The sequence below is a fragment of the Homo sapiens genome, chromosome 10, assembly GCF_000001405.40.
Source record: "Homo sapiens chromosome 10, GRCh38.p14 Primary Assembly".
NCBI lineage: Eukaryota > Metazoa > Chordata > Mammalia > Primates > Hominidae > Homo > Homo sapiens.
The window spans coordinates 45483031-45501398 of NC_000010.11; the positions used below are offsets into that span (position 1 = coordinate 45483031).

The 18368-nt window shown below is 39.1% G+C and overlaps 1 protein-coding gene and 1 long non-coding RNA gene across 17 annotated transcripts in view; one reads left to right on the top strand and one right to left on the bottom strand.

Annotated features, from left to right (window-relative positions):
- MARCHF8 (membrane associated ring-CH-type finger 8) overlaps positions 1-18368 on the bottom strand; it is a 140323-nt gene that overhangs the window by 28446 nt on the left and 93509 nt on the right. For all 15 annotated transcript variants that reach the window (XR_007061947.1, NM_145021.6, NM_001401646.1 and 12 more), the window contains one exon: positions 6337-6387. Coding sequence is in view for 14 of the 15 variants with exons in the window: in NM_145021.6 (NP_659458.2) it covers positions 6337-6387 (51 nt within the window). In the remaining variant the exon portion in view is untranslated. The remainder of the gene's footprint in view (positions 1-6336; positions 6388-18368) is intronic.
- LOC105378286 (uncharacterized) overlaps positions 1-18368 on the top strand; it is a 47291-nt gene that overhangs the window by 18756 nt on the left and 10167 nt on the right. The gene's annotated exons all lie outside the window — the stretch shown is intronic.

The following is an 18368-nucleotide window of genomic DNA, read 5'->3' on the forward strand; positions in this document are numbered from 1 at the left end:
ATAACTATTAGAAGAAAACACAGGGATTACACTTCAAGACATTGATCTAGGCAATGATTTTATGGCTAAGACCCCAAAGCATAGGCAACAAAACCAAAAACCGACAAAAGGGACTATATTAAACTGAAAAGCTTCTGCACAGCATAGGAAACAATCAACAGAGTGAAGACACAACCTGTTGAATGACAGAAAACATGTGAAAACTACCCATCGAACAAGGAACTAACATACAGAATATGTAAGAAACTCAAACAACATTAAAAACACAAACAATCCCATTAAAAAGTGGGCAAAGGACATGACTAGACATTTCTCAAAAAAAGACATGTAAATGACCGACAGCTGCATGAAAAACTGCTCAGCATCCCTAATCATCAGGGAATAACAGATGTTGGTGAGGATGCAGAGAAAAGGGAACTCTTATGTATTGTTGGTGGGAATGCAAATTAGTACAACCAGTATGAAAAATAGTATGGGAATTCCTCAAAAAACTAAAAATAGAACTACTATATAATCCAGCAATCTCACTACAGAGTATTTCCCCAGAGGAAAACAAATTAGTATTATCAAAGAGATATCTGTACTCCCATGTTTATTGTAGCACTGTTCGCAAAAGATATGGAATCAGCCTAAGTGTCCACATCAATGGACAAACAGGTAAAGAATTCGTGACACATATACACAATGAAATACTATTCAGCCATACAAAAAGAATGAAATCATGTCATCTGCAGCAACATGGATGGAGGTCATTAGCCAGACACAGAAAGACAAATATTACATGTTCTCACTCACATGTGGGAGCTATAAAAATTTGATCTCATGGAGGTAGAAAGTAGAATTATAGGTACTAGAGGCTGGGAAGGGTGTGCATGGAGGCAGGAGTGGGGGATAAAGAGAGATTGGTTAATGGGTACAAAAATACAGTTAGATAGTCACAATAAGTTCTAATGTTCAATAACAACAGAGTAGGGTGACTACAGTTAACAATATATTATATACTTCAAAATAACTAGAAGAGAGGTTTAAATTGTTTCTGACACATAGACATGATAAATATTCACAGTGAGGGACACCCCAAATACCCTGACTTGATCATTACATAGTCTATGCATGTAACAAAATATCAGAGGTACCCCATAAATATGTACAAATAAACTAAAAAAAGAAAACCAATCAAATGTGATTTCAGATACTACACAATGATATAAAACTTTGAGTTTGTTCTTTAGAAAATGATTAAGCAAACAGCAGCAAGGGAAGTACATAGGGTGAGGACTGAGTGTGGATGGGGCATCTGGGGAACATCCTCCAGGATGGCTCGTGGGCCCACATGGTCAAGGACCCTGCGGTGAGGTGAAGGTCTGGGCAAGATGCATGGCGATTTCATGGGGGCTGCATTCCAGTGCCCGTCTTTGTATAAAGCATGTCACCTGTGGGACTCAAACTGCCTCAAACTTCTCCAAGCACCCAGTCAATTAAACAGATTTTTTTCCAAGGGGGGACATTCTGCTGCTTCTAAAAATATAAGATTTTCTACACACTGCTATCATTACAAACTGTGATAGGTGCTATGAAGAAAGAGTAACAAAACCCAAATGGGTGATAAAATTTAGACTAAGGGGAGGGTGTCAAGGGTAAGTGCCTCTAAAGAAGCTAAGAACTGAAAGAGAAATGAGTTAGGAATTTTAGCCATTCATGCAAAAAAGGGGTAAGATTGGGAGAGGCCTCTCGGACAGAACAAAAGGTGCGCAAATAGGAATTTGGCTTGTTTGAAAATCATCAAGGTAGACACCATACCTAGATCATCATGACCAAGGGGATATTGCACAGGATCAGGTTCCAAGTGGCCAGGCCCAGGTCACCTTAGATGTGACAGCTCAAGGTAGTGTAATCAGAAACACTGAAGAATTGAAAAGAGAAGCATTAGGAATTCTACTTACTGGCTACTGGGTGCTAGATGGTTTGGGATAGATTCTTGAGAAGCTACTGCAGGAGTTTAGGAGGCCTGGGCCTGGGAAGTGGCTGGGATGATGAAGAGGGATGAACCAATGGGCTGGGTATCAAGTGTCTAGCAGAACAGCATGCAAACATTGACTCAGCATGTACTGACAACCTCCAGGGCTCCATCCCATCACTGGTTCTGCAGATTTAGGGGTAAACAAAGCATGGCTCTACACTCATGAAGGTTACATGTGGGGTGAAGGTGCAATGGAAAAAAATTCATGAAAACCCAGGCAGTGATAAGTGCGATCCTGAAAAATAAAAGGAAAAGGTGACTTTGGACCCCTTAGGATGTTAATTGGAGGTGACAAATTTCATGAAATCCCTTGGTAACAGAGGCTCAACAAATGATATCCATTAACATTGTACTATCAATACAAAATAAGTATTGGGTGAAGACTTTGCCATTGTAATTGCTTAAATATCCCAATATGCTTCTTCTATTAACTCCTTAAGGGGATCAAATCCAGCTGCCCACTTTGAAGAGAGGCAAGCCACCACAGACCTAGCAGCCTCATAAACATCTCATCCAACCTACCTGCTTCCTTCTTTGAAAATGGAGCCTGGTTTTTAAAGTCAATATGCTTCCAATACACACTGAGACACTTTGTAATAAAATCTAGATGGAATACTAGGAGGCATGATTAAAGGTTTATTTTTTACCTCTTTTCAACCTCTAAATTTACGCCAGCAAGAGGTGAACTGCAGAAGCATAAAGCAGACTGCAGTGACTGGCTCATGTGCTGACCCCAGCTGGGGTCTAAAAGTCAGCAGAAAGTCTCCTGACAGAGACAACGGGGATTTCAGGTAGCATACAGTATGTCCACATTGTGGCCTCCTTTAATCTCAAGAGTATGTCTGCTATACTGAAGATACGATTTTACATGTCACGGCCTAAAACTGGCTTCAAACAGCAGGTTCATTTAATAAATACTCCAATAAAAAAACTGTCTTCTCAAAAACAGTTATCTTCCACAGGGGGCCTGCCCTCCCTTCCTTGGTCCCACTGAACTGGTTCATGTCTAACCACCTTATACAGCATGCTAACTATCTTCGTTACAAAAGGGTACACTTTGCAACAGAATTTCACGTTGACAGGTTAACCAGGAAGTTCTGTGAGTAATCAAATGTTCTAAAGGCTCACTCCACTCAGATACTCTCCAATGACCATAGTAAGCATCCCGGAACTCACTGGACACACTAAGTGTCCAGTCGCAAACAGCACACAGTAAAAATGTATTCAAGAAGGGGCCGGGCACGGTGGCTCACGCCTGTAATCCTAGCACTTTGGGAGGCCAAGGCGGGTGGATCAGGAGGTCAGGAGTTTGAGGCCAGCCTGATCAACATAGTGAAACCCTGTCTCTACTAAAAATACAAAAATTAGCTGGGCGTGGTGGCACGCACCTGTAATCCCAGCTACTCAGGAGGCTGAGGCAGGAGAATTGCTTAAATCCAGGAGGCGGAGGTTGCAGTGAGCCAAGATTGCACCACGGCACTCCAGCCTGGGCTACGGAGCGAGACTCTGTCTAAAAAAAAATGTATGCAAGAAGGAAAAAATAATGTATGGTTCTCCATTGTTCAGCAATAAATAATAAAGCTACCATTAAATGAACTGTCCTGGCCCAATCAACCTAAGGTCACCAGGATTCAACGAACTTTGACAAGAGTCAGGTTTGTTGGCTCAGTGTAATGGGTGAGCTGCCCCATGGTTCCATGCAAATGTTAATCCCAAGACTCGGAACAACCCTGAAGGTTGTATTATTACCCTACTTTTTTTTTTTTTTTTTTTTTTGAGACGGAGTTTTGCTCTTGTTGCCTAAGCTGGAGTGCAATGGTGTGATCTTAGCTCACTGCAACCTCCGCCTCCCAGGTTCAAGCGATTCTCCTGCCTCAGCCTCCCAAGCAGCTGGGACTGCAGGTGTGCACCACCACGCCTGGCTATTTTTTTGGAATTTTAGTAAAGATGGGGTTTCATCATGTTGGCCAGGCTGGTCTCAAACTCCTGACCTCAGGTGATCCGCCCGCTTCAGCCTCCCAAATTGCTGCGATTACAGGTGTGAGCCACCACGCCTGGCTTACCCTACTTTTACTGATAACTAAATTAAAGCTCAGAGAGATGTCCTTTTTCAAAATCACATGGCTAGTAAACCATCATCCATGTTAATTCCAAAACCCTTACAAAGCTCAAAATACCCACAACCCAAGCCAGGACAATAGCCTTTCCTCTAGACTTTTTAAGATGGTGGTTTGCAAACAGTTTTTTTTAACTATAGGAAGAAGTTTCCTTTAAATAAAATGTGACTGAAATCCATGAATGAACAGGTACATATTTAAAGCATAGGATGTCCTCCTTCAGAACTGCCCTTGGCTACTAGGGCAAGGCGACATACATGTGTTACTGAGCGTTTTTTAACACATTTAATTCAACTTAAGCAAACAGGCCATCTGCAGCTGCACCTTCTCACTTTTCTCCGTGCTTAGACACTGATTAGCTCCTTTAAAAGGTGCAAAAATGGGCAGCAATGGTTTACCACTGCATAGTTCTAGCACTGCAGCATTCCTGGCCAAAGGGACAGCAAAAGAAAAGAAATGGAGGTTGGATGGGAAAAAATATTTTGTGAAAGGCATTCCTATTTTTAACGCAAAATTAAGCGGAAGAATAATATAATTAGATTACAAATATGCCTAAGAACAGACAAATGTCTTAAGAAGGTTTGCCAGAGTTTACTTTTAGTCTTAAAAAAATAAGGTGACCTGAATGAAAACATATATGTAGTCAGCACATTAAAATGGCATATAATGTAACTGTTCATTTCAGAGTATCTAGGAGGCCTGAGACAGCAGATAGACTTTGTCACTTGTTCAAATCCTCCCAGCTGAATCTGTGGTGTGTTTGGCCATATGCCAAAAACATGGGGAAAAGGTCCACCCTTACAAAGAACTTTCATGGCCTTAACTGTATGGCGAAGGGGTTGGCCAGAGTCAATGTGTGGGCTGAGAGAGGAGCACTGCCTGGAAGCAAGCTCACTGCATCAGATACACTCTGCTGGTTCCCAGGCCATACCCTAGCAGCCAGTGTGCTCCTGGTGCGCTAAAAAGACCACACCACAGGTGAGGAGATGCTGTTGGATGGCTGATTCACTTCCCAAGCCCTCCTTTCCCTAGCTGCCTTCCAGCTAGAGGTGGCCTGTGATCCAGTTCTGGCCAGGGAGATGTAAGCAGATTTCAGGCGGCCAGGTGGGACTTGTGGGACAACTTTTGCCTTCCTGCTGAAAATGGTGACTCTCAGCTAACAGACCTGTTAATCCTTGATCAGTCCTCTAATTCCTGCCAAGGCCACAACCGCAATGCCTGAAGGTCCAGCTCTCATCGTGAGACCATGTGTCAAGTAGGAGATAGCACAGAGAGGAAAGAGCCTGGGTCCCTGGCAACATCTGTTACAGGGAGCCGAAGACCCATGGGACGTGACCAACTCAGCATTCCCCTGGAGACTATATGATCAAACAGCAAACCGTTCATCATGAATGCAGGATATGAGCAAACTCACGACTGCTCCGGCCGACTGCTCCTGCCAACAGAAGGTTTGCTGGAGGCAATCACTCCCTGGCGCCAAGGTTCTCTACTGCAACATCTAGAACCTTTTGTTCAAGGAATGCAGTCTTGCAAGCCTACTCTAGACTGAGCAGCTGACCCCTTCTTCCACCCGCCTTCTCACTATCTCTTTTGCCTAATAAATATGGAGGGCTGTGTAAAGCTCAGGGCCCTTGTCCACTAGAGCCAAGATGCCTCCTTCTTCCAAATATACTCTTTTGTCTCTTGTCTTTTATTCCCGCCTTCACCCCTTGTTCAGTTCCCCTAGGTCCATGCGGGTTACACAGTGGCACCCCGAACAGCCACAGAATCGGGTGCACTACAATCTGTGATCAACTCTGCCCTGGATCACCTGCTTCCAGACACCTTGTCAAATGAACCATATAAATCCATAATTATGTAAGTCATCATAGTTAGCTTTCTGTTACTTTCAGTCAAATATATTCCTAATTGTGGCAACAGACTCTCCTGTGCCTGAGATTTCTTCTGCCTTAAAGTATATGGTTTTCTGGAAAAAATGGAATTTTCTCCCAGAAGTCACTTCCCCCAACACACACTCAAAATTGCCTTACCAGAAAAATGTAACTGCCACATACCTCTTATGGTCCCAGAACAGATTACAGAAATGTATCAAGAACTCTAACGTCTTTTCAAAAAAAAAAAAAAGAGTATAAACACATGTAAGGCATAAGAACAGAAAAGACTCAAGGTAATAAATAACATTTTTCAGTGGCACTCTACCTTAGAAATGTTGCTTGAATGACTCATGAAATGTCCCAAAGTCTTCTCATTCTGCAAGAAAATCAAACAGGTTTTAATTATCAATCTTTGATTAAAATATGCAAAGAACAAGTAATTGATCACAACAACCCTACTGACAAATCATTCCCTGAACTAGAATTTGCAAAGCACAACCTACTATATACTAGATGTATGTAGCCAGGCAGTAAATATTGCACATTTGGGCAAAATGAATACACAATAGTCCCTGTCCTAAAGGATTTAACATTTTATTTAAGAGATTTAATTTTTTATTATCAGGAAAAAATAAGAGTTTAGAATTCACTGTCAAAATAAGATGGTAATAAGTGTCTTAAGTCACATTTCACGTGAAAGTTCAGATGGTGATAAGTGTCTTAAGACACATTTCAAGTGGAGAGGCTGCATGCTCAGTTGTATGTGACACAGTCCACATTATGAGGAGTCACGGCGAAAGAGTGAAGAAAGTAGGACAGCTGACCAGTCCTGGGGTGTCTGGCTAACAAAGTGCTGAATACTCAATCGGGATATCACACAGCTCACATCTCCTTCAACTCAGTTTCTCCTCCTGGAGCAGGGAAATCTGGGAGCCATGCCAGCCTCCTTCCTCTCATGCCCCTCCACATTCAGTCACATAGTCTTGTATCAAATTCTTCCTCCTCTCAATCACAACTCATTTTCATTTTTATTGACAATGCTTTAGTTTAGATTCTCTTCATTTCTCAGCTAGAATTCTTGAAGAATAACATCCCACCTGGCCTTTTTGCCTTTAGGTTGACCTCCCTGATACACAACTATCATGGGCTAAACTGTGTATTCCCCTCCCTTCTGTGAAAATTTAGATGTTGATGTCCTAAACTCCTTCTTCCTCAGAATATAACTATTTGGAATAGGGACTTTAAAGATGTAATTAAGTTTACATGAGGTCAATAGTAGTCCCGGCTACTCAGGAGGTGACTCTAATCCTAGTGGACTCTAATCCAATAGGATTGGTGTCCTTGTAATAAGAGGAGTTTGTGACACAGACACACACAGATAAAAGACAATGTGAACACAGAGGGAGAAGATGGCCATCTACAAGCCAAGGAGAAACCAGCCCTGCTGCCACCTTCATCTTGGACTTCCAGCCTCCAGACTATGAGAAAATAAATTTCTGTTGTTTAAGCCACCTTCCGTATGGCAATTTGTTATGGCAACCCTCAAACAACTACGATCATCTTCCATCCTATGACTTTCTTTAAAAAAAAAAAGTGAACACTCTAAACATAAATCTGATTTTTAAAAATAAAGTCATTTTCCTGAATCTACTCATTCTTGCTCTAAACCCAAATGAGTAACAAAAACTATTGCCTAAGGAAGAGAAGATCTTAGTTGTATTTCCTTGCTCTGTCACCTAGGCTGGGAGTGCAGTGGCATGATCATGGTTCATGGCAGCCTTGACCTCTTGGGCTCAAGTGATCCTCCTGCCTCAGCCTTCTGAGGAATTGGGACTACAGGGATGTGCCAACATGTCTGACTAAATACTTTTTGTGGAGACAGGGATCACTCTGTCACCCAGGCTAGAGTGCAGTGGCACAATCACAATCATGCTTCACTGAAGCCTCAACCTCCTGGGTTCAAGTGATCCTCCCGCCTCAGCCTCCCGAGCAGCTAGGACTACAGACATGTGCCACCATGTCTGACTAAGTATTTTTTATAGAGACAGGGTCTTGCTATGCTGCCCAGGCTCAACTCCTGGCCTCAAGTAATTCTCCCATCTGAGCTTCTCAAAGGACTGGAATTACAGGCATGAGTCACCATACCTGACCTGTTTCTTCATCTTAAGGCAGTCAATTAGTAAATTATAAAGTATGCTCAAAGTGTTGGGAGAATGTTACCAAAGAATGTTTCTAAAAGATCAAGTTTCACTTTGGGAGGCTGAGGCGGGCAGATTGCCTGAGGTCAGTAGTTTGAGACCCGCCTGACCAACATGGTGAAACACCGTCTCTACTAAAAATACAAAAATTAGCCGGGCATGGTGGCACGTGCCTATAATCCCAACTACTCCGGAGGCTGAGGGAAGGAGAATCGCTTGAAACTGGGAGGCAGAGGTTGCAGTGAGCTGAGATCACACCACTGCACTGCATTCCAGCCTGGGCAACAGAGCAAGACTCCGTATCAACAACAACAAAAAAAGACCAAGTTTAACTAGCAATTTAATTCAATCATATTATTCACACATTCATTCACTGGGAATGAAAGCCCTCTGTCCAGAGAACAAGTAATCTGAGTTTCATTCATTAGTCAAGAATGTACTTATAGGTAAACACAGGGCACTGCTGTGAGTCCCAATTTTAAGGCCAAGCTACTGGTGACTTACTATTAAATTTTAGTGTAGTCTACTAAGTTCAAACAAAGACACCATAGGCCTTGGATTATCTGTACAGAAAGCCAATTATAACCACTGCTACATTACTTACTACCTCACAAGGAATGGCTGGTTTGACACCATCTGGAAATCTACAGAGAAGTTCACAAGTACTAAGAGAAGCCAATAAATCATATCCTCAGACCTTTTTGACATTAATTATTCAACAGAGAATGGATATTGGGGTGAGGGAGAACTACCTGCTAACTTAACATTATAAACCCAGATTGAGAGCTAAAGCTGTTCCTTACCCTTTAAGAAATAAATTTGATAATGCAAGCTTTTATTTTGTTTTCTTGTTAGAACAATTCATATTTTACATTGGTAAAACCAAACAAATAACAAGCCCTAGAAAACACAGGGGTTTTAAAGCCTGAAACCTGTCAATATTTAGGGTTGCTTCTCCACTACTTGGTAGGATCTTAACAGTTCAGTTCCAGCAGACCAGATCATCTTTTATTTTCCCCCAATAAACACTGCTCTTTTTCTTCTTCTTCTTCTTCTTCTTTTTTTTTTTCTTTTTTGATACGTAGTCTCGCTCTGTCGCCCAGGCTGGAGTGCACTGGTGCAATCTCGGCTCACTGCACGCTCCGCCTCCCAGGTTCATGCCACTCTCCTGCCTCAGCCTCCCAAGTAGCTGGGACTACAGGCGCCCACCACCATGTCCGGCTCAGTTTTTGTATTTTTAGTAGAGACGGGGTTTCACTGTGTTAGCCAGGATGGTCTCGATCTCCTGACCTCGTGATCTGCCCGCCTCGGCCTCCCAAAGTGCTGGGATTACAGGCGTGAGCCACTGCGCCCAGCCTAAACACTGCTCTTTAGATGTCCATTTATTTGGACTTAAAATATATAGTGCAGGACAACATCAGAGATATTTTCCAGAAAGCAAGTCCCAAAACTCATTCAAATCAGTCATTCTTTCCACACTTATTTACTATGCAACTACTATGTGTGAACAACTGTGTCAGGCATAGAATATGGACCAAAATCTCACTCCTAACCATATGCCAATGATAATATTGAGAATCCCTTATTTGAAATGCTTGGGACCAGAACTGTTTCATATTTCTGAGTTTTTTGGACTTTGGAATATTTGCATTATACTTACAGGTGGAGCATCCCAAATCTGAGAATTCAAAATCTGAAAGGTGACAATGAGCACTTACTTTGAGTGTCATGCTGACATTCCAAAGTTTCAGATTTTGAAGCATGCTGGATTTCGAGTTTGTGGATTAGGGACGCTCAACGTGTATTACCACTGAACTCCTCTGAAAAAGTGTTTTGGTGAGAAATGTCCAAACTAGGGAAGAGCTTAAGAATGACATAAAAGAAGCACATACATAAAGTATATCAAGGTGGAAGTGTGACACCACTCTGCCCTGTAGTCAGAATGGCATCTTGGTTCTGAATGAGAAGTAAAGTTTGCCAAGCATCAATGTAAAGAAGTGGAATTAGACATACCAAGGAGAAAAAAGTTCCAGTTCAAGCCCAAACTAAGCTTCAATGCCCAAGTAATAAAAACCCTGGCAAATTATTTACAGCTCTTTAACACATTCAGTCACTGCTTACTGGATACCACCACCTTGTGACCCCAGGAGAGATGGAAGCCTCGCTGCATCTTCCTTCCTTCCTCAGAGAAGGTACTAAGAGATGCCACACACTACCCTGGCTTTCATCTCCACATCTCTCTGGTGGGCTCTTTTCATCTACATTCAACATGAGAGCTCCTCAGAACACAGCCTCATGCCCTCTAGATTTCATTTGTTTTCTCCTTTAGCCAGTGCTTTTCCAACTCTGGACACCTAATCATTTAGGGATCTTGCTAAAATGTAGATTGTGGTTTGTTAGGTCTAGGGGGGACTCAGATTTCTGCATTTCCAAAAAGCTCCCAGGTGACTCCCATGCTGCTGTCCCCAGACCACAGTTTGAGGTGCAAGTTTTCATTCCAAATCTTGAACCAGAAAAATCAATAAAGTCTATGAGTTTTGTTTGTTTGTTTTTAAGACAGGGTTTTGCCATGTTGTCCAGGCTGGAGGACAGTAGCTATTCACGAGTACCATCATGTCATACTACAGTCTCTAATTCCTGGGCTCAAGTGATCCTCCCACCTCAACCTCCCAAGTAGCTGAGATTACAGGCATACTACTGCACCCAATTTATGACTCATGTTTTAAAAAGCAAATCATGACCATTTTAAAAGTAAATTCCTATGTAAAAGATGGCTGTGAGCCCACAATTGAGTTAATACAAATCAATCAATCAGGAAACACAATGGTACAGATTGGGAAAGACTGAGTCTGAGGGTGTGAGAAAACAAAGTTTTCTTAATGTGAGAAGCTACCAGATCACAAAGATAAAGAGAAGCTCTGCTGAAGAATAAGGCACATTTTACAATTTAATCAGTGCTGTCAATGATGTTTTTCACAAGTCCACATGTGGCTCCCAACAGAATGTACTTGTGGGTAGAGCCAAGGCATAAAACTCACATAGACCAAATACACCCTGGAAAGTAGAAACCAATAATTATCAAGAAGACAACGAGGTGAGATGCCTAAGCGAGTTTTTGGGATTCTGTATGAAAGAGTCAAACAATAGGACTTCATCATGTGGGGTTTTCCTGAAACTCTGACCAGGACTGGTCCTTAAAAAAAAAGACAAAATATGTGGGCAATGAACACCGCTAACTACATACTCAATACCTATCTCCCTTTGTCCCCACCAAAAGAACCCTGACTTTGTCCTGAGCAGCAACAAACCCAGCTAAAAGTTCTCACTTTTCCACACTACTTTGCAGTTAAGGAAAACTATTAAATATATAAAAAGTTCTTTTGAAAGAAATTAACTAAAGATTTCCTGGGAAAACATTTTGCTTTCCTGATATTGCCATTGCCCATTTCTCTGGAATTCCTCCTCCCTCATCCAGCCTGGAATATAGACGTAATACCACGAAGTAAAGCAGTTCACTTTGGGACTATGAAGAAGATAGTTACTAGAAGTCTGAAACTTTTTGGTCTCAGGACCCCTTTATCCTGTAAAAAATGATTAAGGGCCAAGCGTGGTGACTCACACCTGTAATCCCAGCACTTGGGAGGCCGAGGTGGGAGGATCACCTGAGGTCAGGAGTTCGAGACCAGCCTGGCCAACATGGTGAAACCCCATCTCTACTAGAAATACAAAAATTAGCTGGGCGTGGTGGCACATGCCTGTAATGCCAGCTACTTGGGAGGCTGAGGCAGGAGAACTGCTTGAACCTGAAAGGCAGAGGTTGCAGTGAGCCGAGATCGCGCGACTGAACTCCAGCCTGGGCAACAAAAGCAAAACTCCATCTCAAAAAAAAAAAAAGAAAAGAAAAAGATTAAGGACTCCCAAAACCTTTGGATTATGTAGGGTTTTATCTATGGGTATTTGCAATATTAGACATTAAAACTGACAGCGTAAAAACTATATCTCTTAATTCATTTAGCATTAGTAATAAACCCAGTTAACATAAATAACATTTCAATGAAGTTTAACTATTTTCTCAAAAAAAAAAAAATTAGTGAGCAGAGTGGCACTCCTGTACATTTTTATAAATCTCATTGTTTAATAGAAGACAGCTAGATTCCTGCATCTGTTTATGTATTAAATCTCTTCTGATCTGATGCTTTTGTGAGGACCCATTCAAAACTCAGAGTTGACATAATCATGATTTTAAGCTGAAGACATCTGATATTCAATGAATGCAGGAAGAAGCCCTCTCCATACTTCCCTTATATGATTAAAAGCAGAAACTGTGACAAATGAGGCTGCCATAAATTCCCTCTTCAACGGTTTACTCCCAGGAAGGAGATCAAGAGTAAACGTACCATAATTCCCCTGTCTAGGAGGAGTTTTATGGCCATGAAGAAGAGGAAAAGACACTCCCATCTACACAAACATTATCACAAGCTTTCTTATCTCTTAATTTGTTAGGAGGGGAGGGGAGGGGAGGGGAGGGGATGCTAGGGGAGGGGAGGGAGACAGGCAGGAAGGTGGGGAGGGGAGAAAGGAAAGGAAGAAAAGAGAAAAGAGAAAAAAGAAAAGAGAAGAAGAGAAGAGAGAAAAGAAAAGAAAAGAAAGGAGAAAGGAAAAGAAAAACTAAAAGCAGCAGGAAATAAATGACTCATCATATTCTCCATGGTACATGGGAACCACAAAAAGATTAACAGCTGACTTATCCTCAGAAACCAGGGAGGCCAGAGACAGTGGAAGGACATAAAGAACTCAAAGAAAAAAAATGTGAACCAAGATAATTATATTCAGCAAAACTATCTTCAAAAATGAAGATGAAAAATACATTCATAGATAAACAGAAACTCAGAGAATTCATTGCAAGTGGATGCACCTGAAAAGAAATACTAAAGGAAGTTCTTTGAGTTGAAAGCATGTACTGCCAAACAGTAGTCAAAAGTAACTGTGTAACTATAAGACAATATAAATGCATATATATTTTGCATATATATTTTCCTTTCTTAAATAATTTAAAAAGGAATTATATAAAAACTATGTTTATAATTGTATTGTTAAACCTATAACATAAAGAAATGTAATGTATTTAATAGTAATACAAGATAAGTGGGTACAAAGTTGTCATCATTATACTAATATCAGACGAAACAGAATTCAGAAAATTTTACCAGAGATAAAGAGGGACTTCTACTATGAAAGGTTGGCATAAGGAAATGATATCACATGGAAACTCTACACTGAAACAAATGAAGATAATAAGGAGTGCTAACTTTAAAATAACAAACTGTATAAACATATAATGCTCTCCTTTCCTTTATGTCTTTAAAAGACAGTTAAATAAACTAATAACTGCTACAATGTATTGTTGGGTTTGTAACATAAATAGATATGTATAAACAATAATTAGTAAAGAAATAGAGGTACATAGGAGGAATCATTCTATGTCTTACAGGAATTAAATCAATATGAATCTGAAGAAGATTCTGTTAGAAAAATATATATATATATAGTAAACCCTCAACCATTAAGAAAATAATTTTTTAAATAGCATTAGAAATCTTTTTTAAAAATCATTTAAGGAATTAAAATATTACAATACAAAATAATGCAAAAGAAAGCAATAAAGGAAGAACACAGGAACAAAAATGGCAAGACACATAGAAAACAAAAAGTAAAATGGCAAACAAGCAAACCATATCATTAATAGCATGAACTGCAAATGGATTAACAAATCAACAGGAAGGGTTGTCAGGATGTACAATAACACAAAATCCAGTTGTATTCTAAGTTCAGGAGATACAATTAGACTCAAAATTATAAACAGGATTACAGTAAAAGAAGCAAAAAGATACATAGCACAAAAACAACCACCATAAAAAGGGGTAGTCATTATATTAATATCAGATAAAAAAGACTTAGGAAAATTTTACTAGAGCTAAAGAGGGACTTTTACTATGATAAGGTCAACCATCATGAAGGTATAATAATTATAAATATATAAGCACCTAATATGAAAACCACAAAATACATAAAGCAAGAACTGACAGAGCTGACTGAAAAACAGATAATACTTGCAGACTTCAAAATCCTGCTTTCAACAATGAACAGCCGAGCTATGTAAAAGACTTGAACAGCACTAAACCAACTTGACCTAACAGACATCCACAGAATACAAAACCCAACAACAACAACAGAATATACATTCTTCTCAAGTGCACAACAACAGACTATAGAGTAGTCCACAAAACAAACATCAGTAAATGTAAAAGGACTCAAATCATATACAGTATGATTCTGGCTACAACAGAGTTAAACTTTAGAGTTAAATGTTATTGTTTATCAACAGCAGAGAGAAACTACCAAATTCACAAATGCGGAAATTAAACAACAAAATCTGAAATAACCAGTAAATCAAAAAAGAACTCACCAAAAAAAAACTAGAAAATTTATTTGAGATTCATAAAAATGAAGTCACAAAATACCACACTTACACAATGCAACTAAAATAGTGCTTAGGGGGATATTTATAGCTGTAAATGACAAGATTAAAGAAAGGTACAGAGAAAACGCAGTCATATGTAAGTCAGAAAGAAAGGCCTACCAGAAACCAAATTTTCTGGCAACGTGATTTTGGACTTCTTGTCTCCAAAAATGTGAGAAATTAAATTTCTGTTACTTAAGCCACCCAGTCTGTGGTATTTTGTTATGGCAGCCTGAACAGACTAATACAAACATCTACTAAAAAACTACAGGTAACATTATACTTAATGGTGAAAGATTGAATGCTTACTCCCTAAATTTTAACAGCAATTCTATCTGCTTTCACCATTTCTTTTTAACATTTTAATTGTGGCAAAATACACACAATGTAAACACACCATCATATAAAGTATGCATAATATAAAATTCACCATCTTAACCATTTTAAGTGTACAGTTCAGTATTAAGTATATTCACATTGTTGCACAATCTACAGAACTTTTTCATCTTGCAAAAACTGAAACTCTATACTCATTAAACAATTCCCTATATCTTCCTACCCCCGAAATATTTTTAAAAATTTTTACTTTCTGTTTCTATGATTCTGACTACTCTAGATACTTTATACAAGTGGAATCATAACAGTATTTTTCTTTTTGCGATTAGCTCACTTCACTTGGCATAATGTCCTCAAGATTCCTCCGTGTTGTAGCATGTGTCAGAAGCCTTTTTTTTTTTGAGAAGTCTCGCTCTGTCACCCAGGCTGGAGTGCAGTGGCATGATCTCGGCTCACTGCAACCTCTACCTCCTGGGTTCAAGCAATTCTCCTGACTCAGCCTCCCAAGTAGCTGGGATTACAGGTATACACCACTACATCCAGCTAATTTTTGTATTTTTAGTAGAGATGGCATTTCACCATGTTGGCCAGGCTGGTCTCAAACTCCTGACCTCAGGTGATCCTCCCTCCTCGGCCTCCCAAAGTGCTAGAATAACAGGCGTGAGCCGCTGTGCCCAGCCAGAATCCTTTTCTTTTTAAAACAAATGTGAAACTATATGCAATAAATGTACCATATTTTATTTATTCATTCACCCTTTGATGGACACTTGTATTGCTTCCACCCTTTGGCACTGTAAATAATGTTGCTATGAACACAGGTATACAAATATCTCTTTGAGACCTGGCTTTTAATTCTTTGGGGTATATACCCAGAAGTGGATTTCCTGGGTCATACAGTAATAATTATCTTTTACTTTTTAAGGAACTCCTATACTGTTTTCCATTGTGGTTGCACTATTTTACATTCCTATTAGCAGTGCACAATCAGCGTTCCACTTTGTTCGGATCCTCATCAACACATTTTTAAAATATATATAACAGCCATCCTTGATGGTTGTAAAGTGGTATCTCACTGTGGTTTTGATTTGCGTTTCCCTAATTATCAATGATGTTGACCATCTTTTCATATGCCTACTAGCCATTTGTATATCCTCTTTGGAAAAGTGTCTATTCAAGCATTTTAGAATCAGATTATTTGTTGCTGTTGAGATGTAGGAGTTCTTTATATATTCTAGATATTATCCCTTTATCAGATATATGATTTGTAAATATCTCCCATTCCCTAAGTGGCCTTTCCACCCTGTCCACTGTTTCCTTTGATGCCCAGAAGTTTTAAATTTTGATGTAATCTAATTTCTGTATTTTTACTTCTGTTGCCTTTGCTTTTGGTGTCATATCCAAAAAATTTTTGCCAAATCCAAAGTCAAGAAGCTTCTTTCCCTAGGTTTTCTTTTAAGAATTTTATAGTTTTAAGTCTTAGATCCATTTTGAGCTAATCTTTCTACATGGTGTAAAGTAAGGGTCCAATTGTATTCTTTTGCCTCTTAATATCCAGACCCCTGCCACCCCCACCAATATCATTTGTTGAAAAGACTGTCCTTTCCTCACTGACTAGTCTCGGCGCCATTGTGGGAAATCATTTGGCCAAATATGTGAGGCTTTATTTCTGGGACTCTCTATTCTATTCCATTGGTTTCTATGTCTATCTTATGCCAGTACCACACTAACTTGTTTACTGTAGCTTTGTAATAAGTTTTGAAGTCAGGGAGCATCACACCATCACTTTGTTCTTTTTGTTCAAATTGTTCTGGCTATTCAGGATCCCTTGTGATTCCATATAAATTACAGGACAGATTTATCTATTTCTGTAAAACAAAAGTCACTGAGATTTTGAGAAGGATTATACCGAATATACAGATTGATTTGGGCAGTACTGTCATCTTAACAATATTAAGTTTTCCAATAAACACAGGATGTCTTCCCATTTATTTTATGTCTTCTTTAATTTCTTTCATCAATATATAGTAGTTTTCTGTGTATAAGTCTTTACCACTTTGGTTAAGTTTATTCCTATTTTATGCATTTTTGATGCCATTGTAAATAGGACTGTTTTCTCAATATCCTTTTTAGATTGTTCATTATTAGTATATAGAAACACAGCTGATTTGTGTGTGTGTGTTGATTTTATAACTTGAAACTTTGCTGAATTCATTTAGTCTGATTTTTTGTTTGTTTTGCATGGAAACTTTAGGGTTTTCTATATAAAAAATTTTGTCATATGTAAAGAGATAATTTTACTCCTTTCCAATTTTGATGCTTTTTACCTCTTTTTCTTGCCTAATTGCTCAGCTAGGATTTCCAGTAATGTGTTGTACAGCAGTGGCAAAACCAGGCAACCTTATCTTGCTCCTGATCTTAGAGGAAAAATTTTCAGACTTTCGCCAATGACTATAATGTCAGCTGCAGACTTTTCATATATGGCCTTTATTATGTTGAGGTAGTTTCCCTCTATTCCCAGTTTCTTGAATGTTTTCTACTATTCTGATGCATCATAGTGCCAAAAGTTCTAGCCACCACAATTAGGAAAATAAACAAAATAAAAGGCATATATATCAGAATGAAAGACATAAAAATCTCTATCTGCACATGACATGAATGCTTATGTAGAAAATCCTAAGGTATTAACAATAGCAACAACAAAGTCCTCGAAGGAGTCCAGCAAAGTCAGAGGATACAAAATAGACATACAAAAATTAACTGCATTGCTATATATATATATACATATATATAACACACATATAGCAATGAACAAAAGAACTCACAATTACTATTATAGAGCCACTCTAAAAAAACTGAAGTATTTAGGTGCACATCAAGTAAAACATGAATCTGATTGCTGATGCTGCAAAAAAAATTGATCAAAAATGATCTCAACATATAAAAATACATACTGTTCCTGGAATGAAAAATTCAATATAATGTAAGCTGACAACTCTTCCCCAAATTGATAAACAGCTTAAACATAATTCCTATCAAAATTCTAGCAAGTTTTTTTTTTAGATATAGACAGGTTATTCTAAGATTTATATGGATAGGCAAAGGAACTAGAATACTTAAAACAATCCTAAAGAATCCTAAAAGAATAAAAAAACTGGGAGAAATCCATCCATCCAATTTCAAGAACTAATATACAGCCAGAGTAATCACTACTGTGTGGTACTAGTGAAGAACCAGACATAACCATCAATGGAACAAGACAGAGAATCCAGAAATCAACCCATACAATATGCCCAACTGATTTTT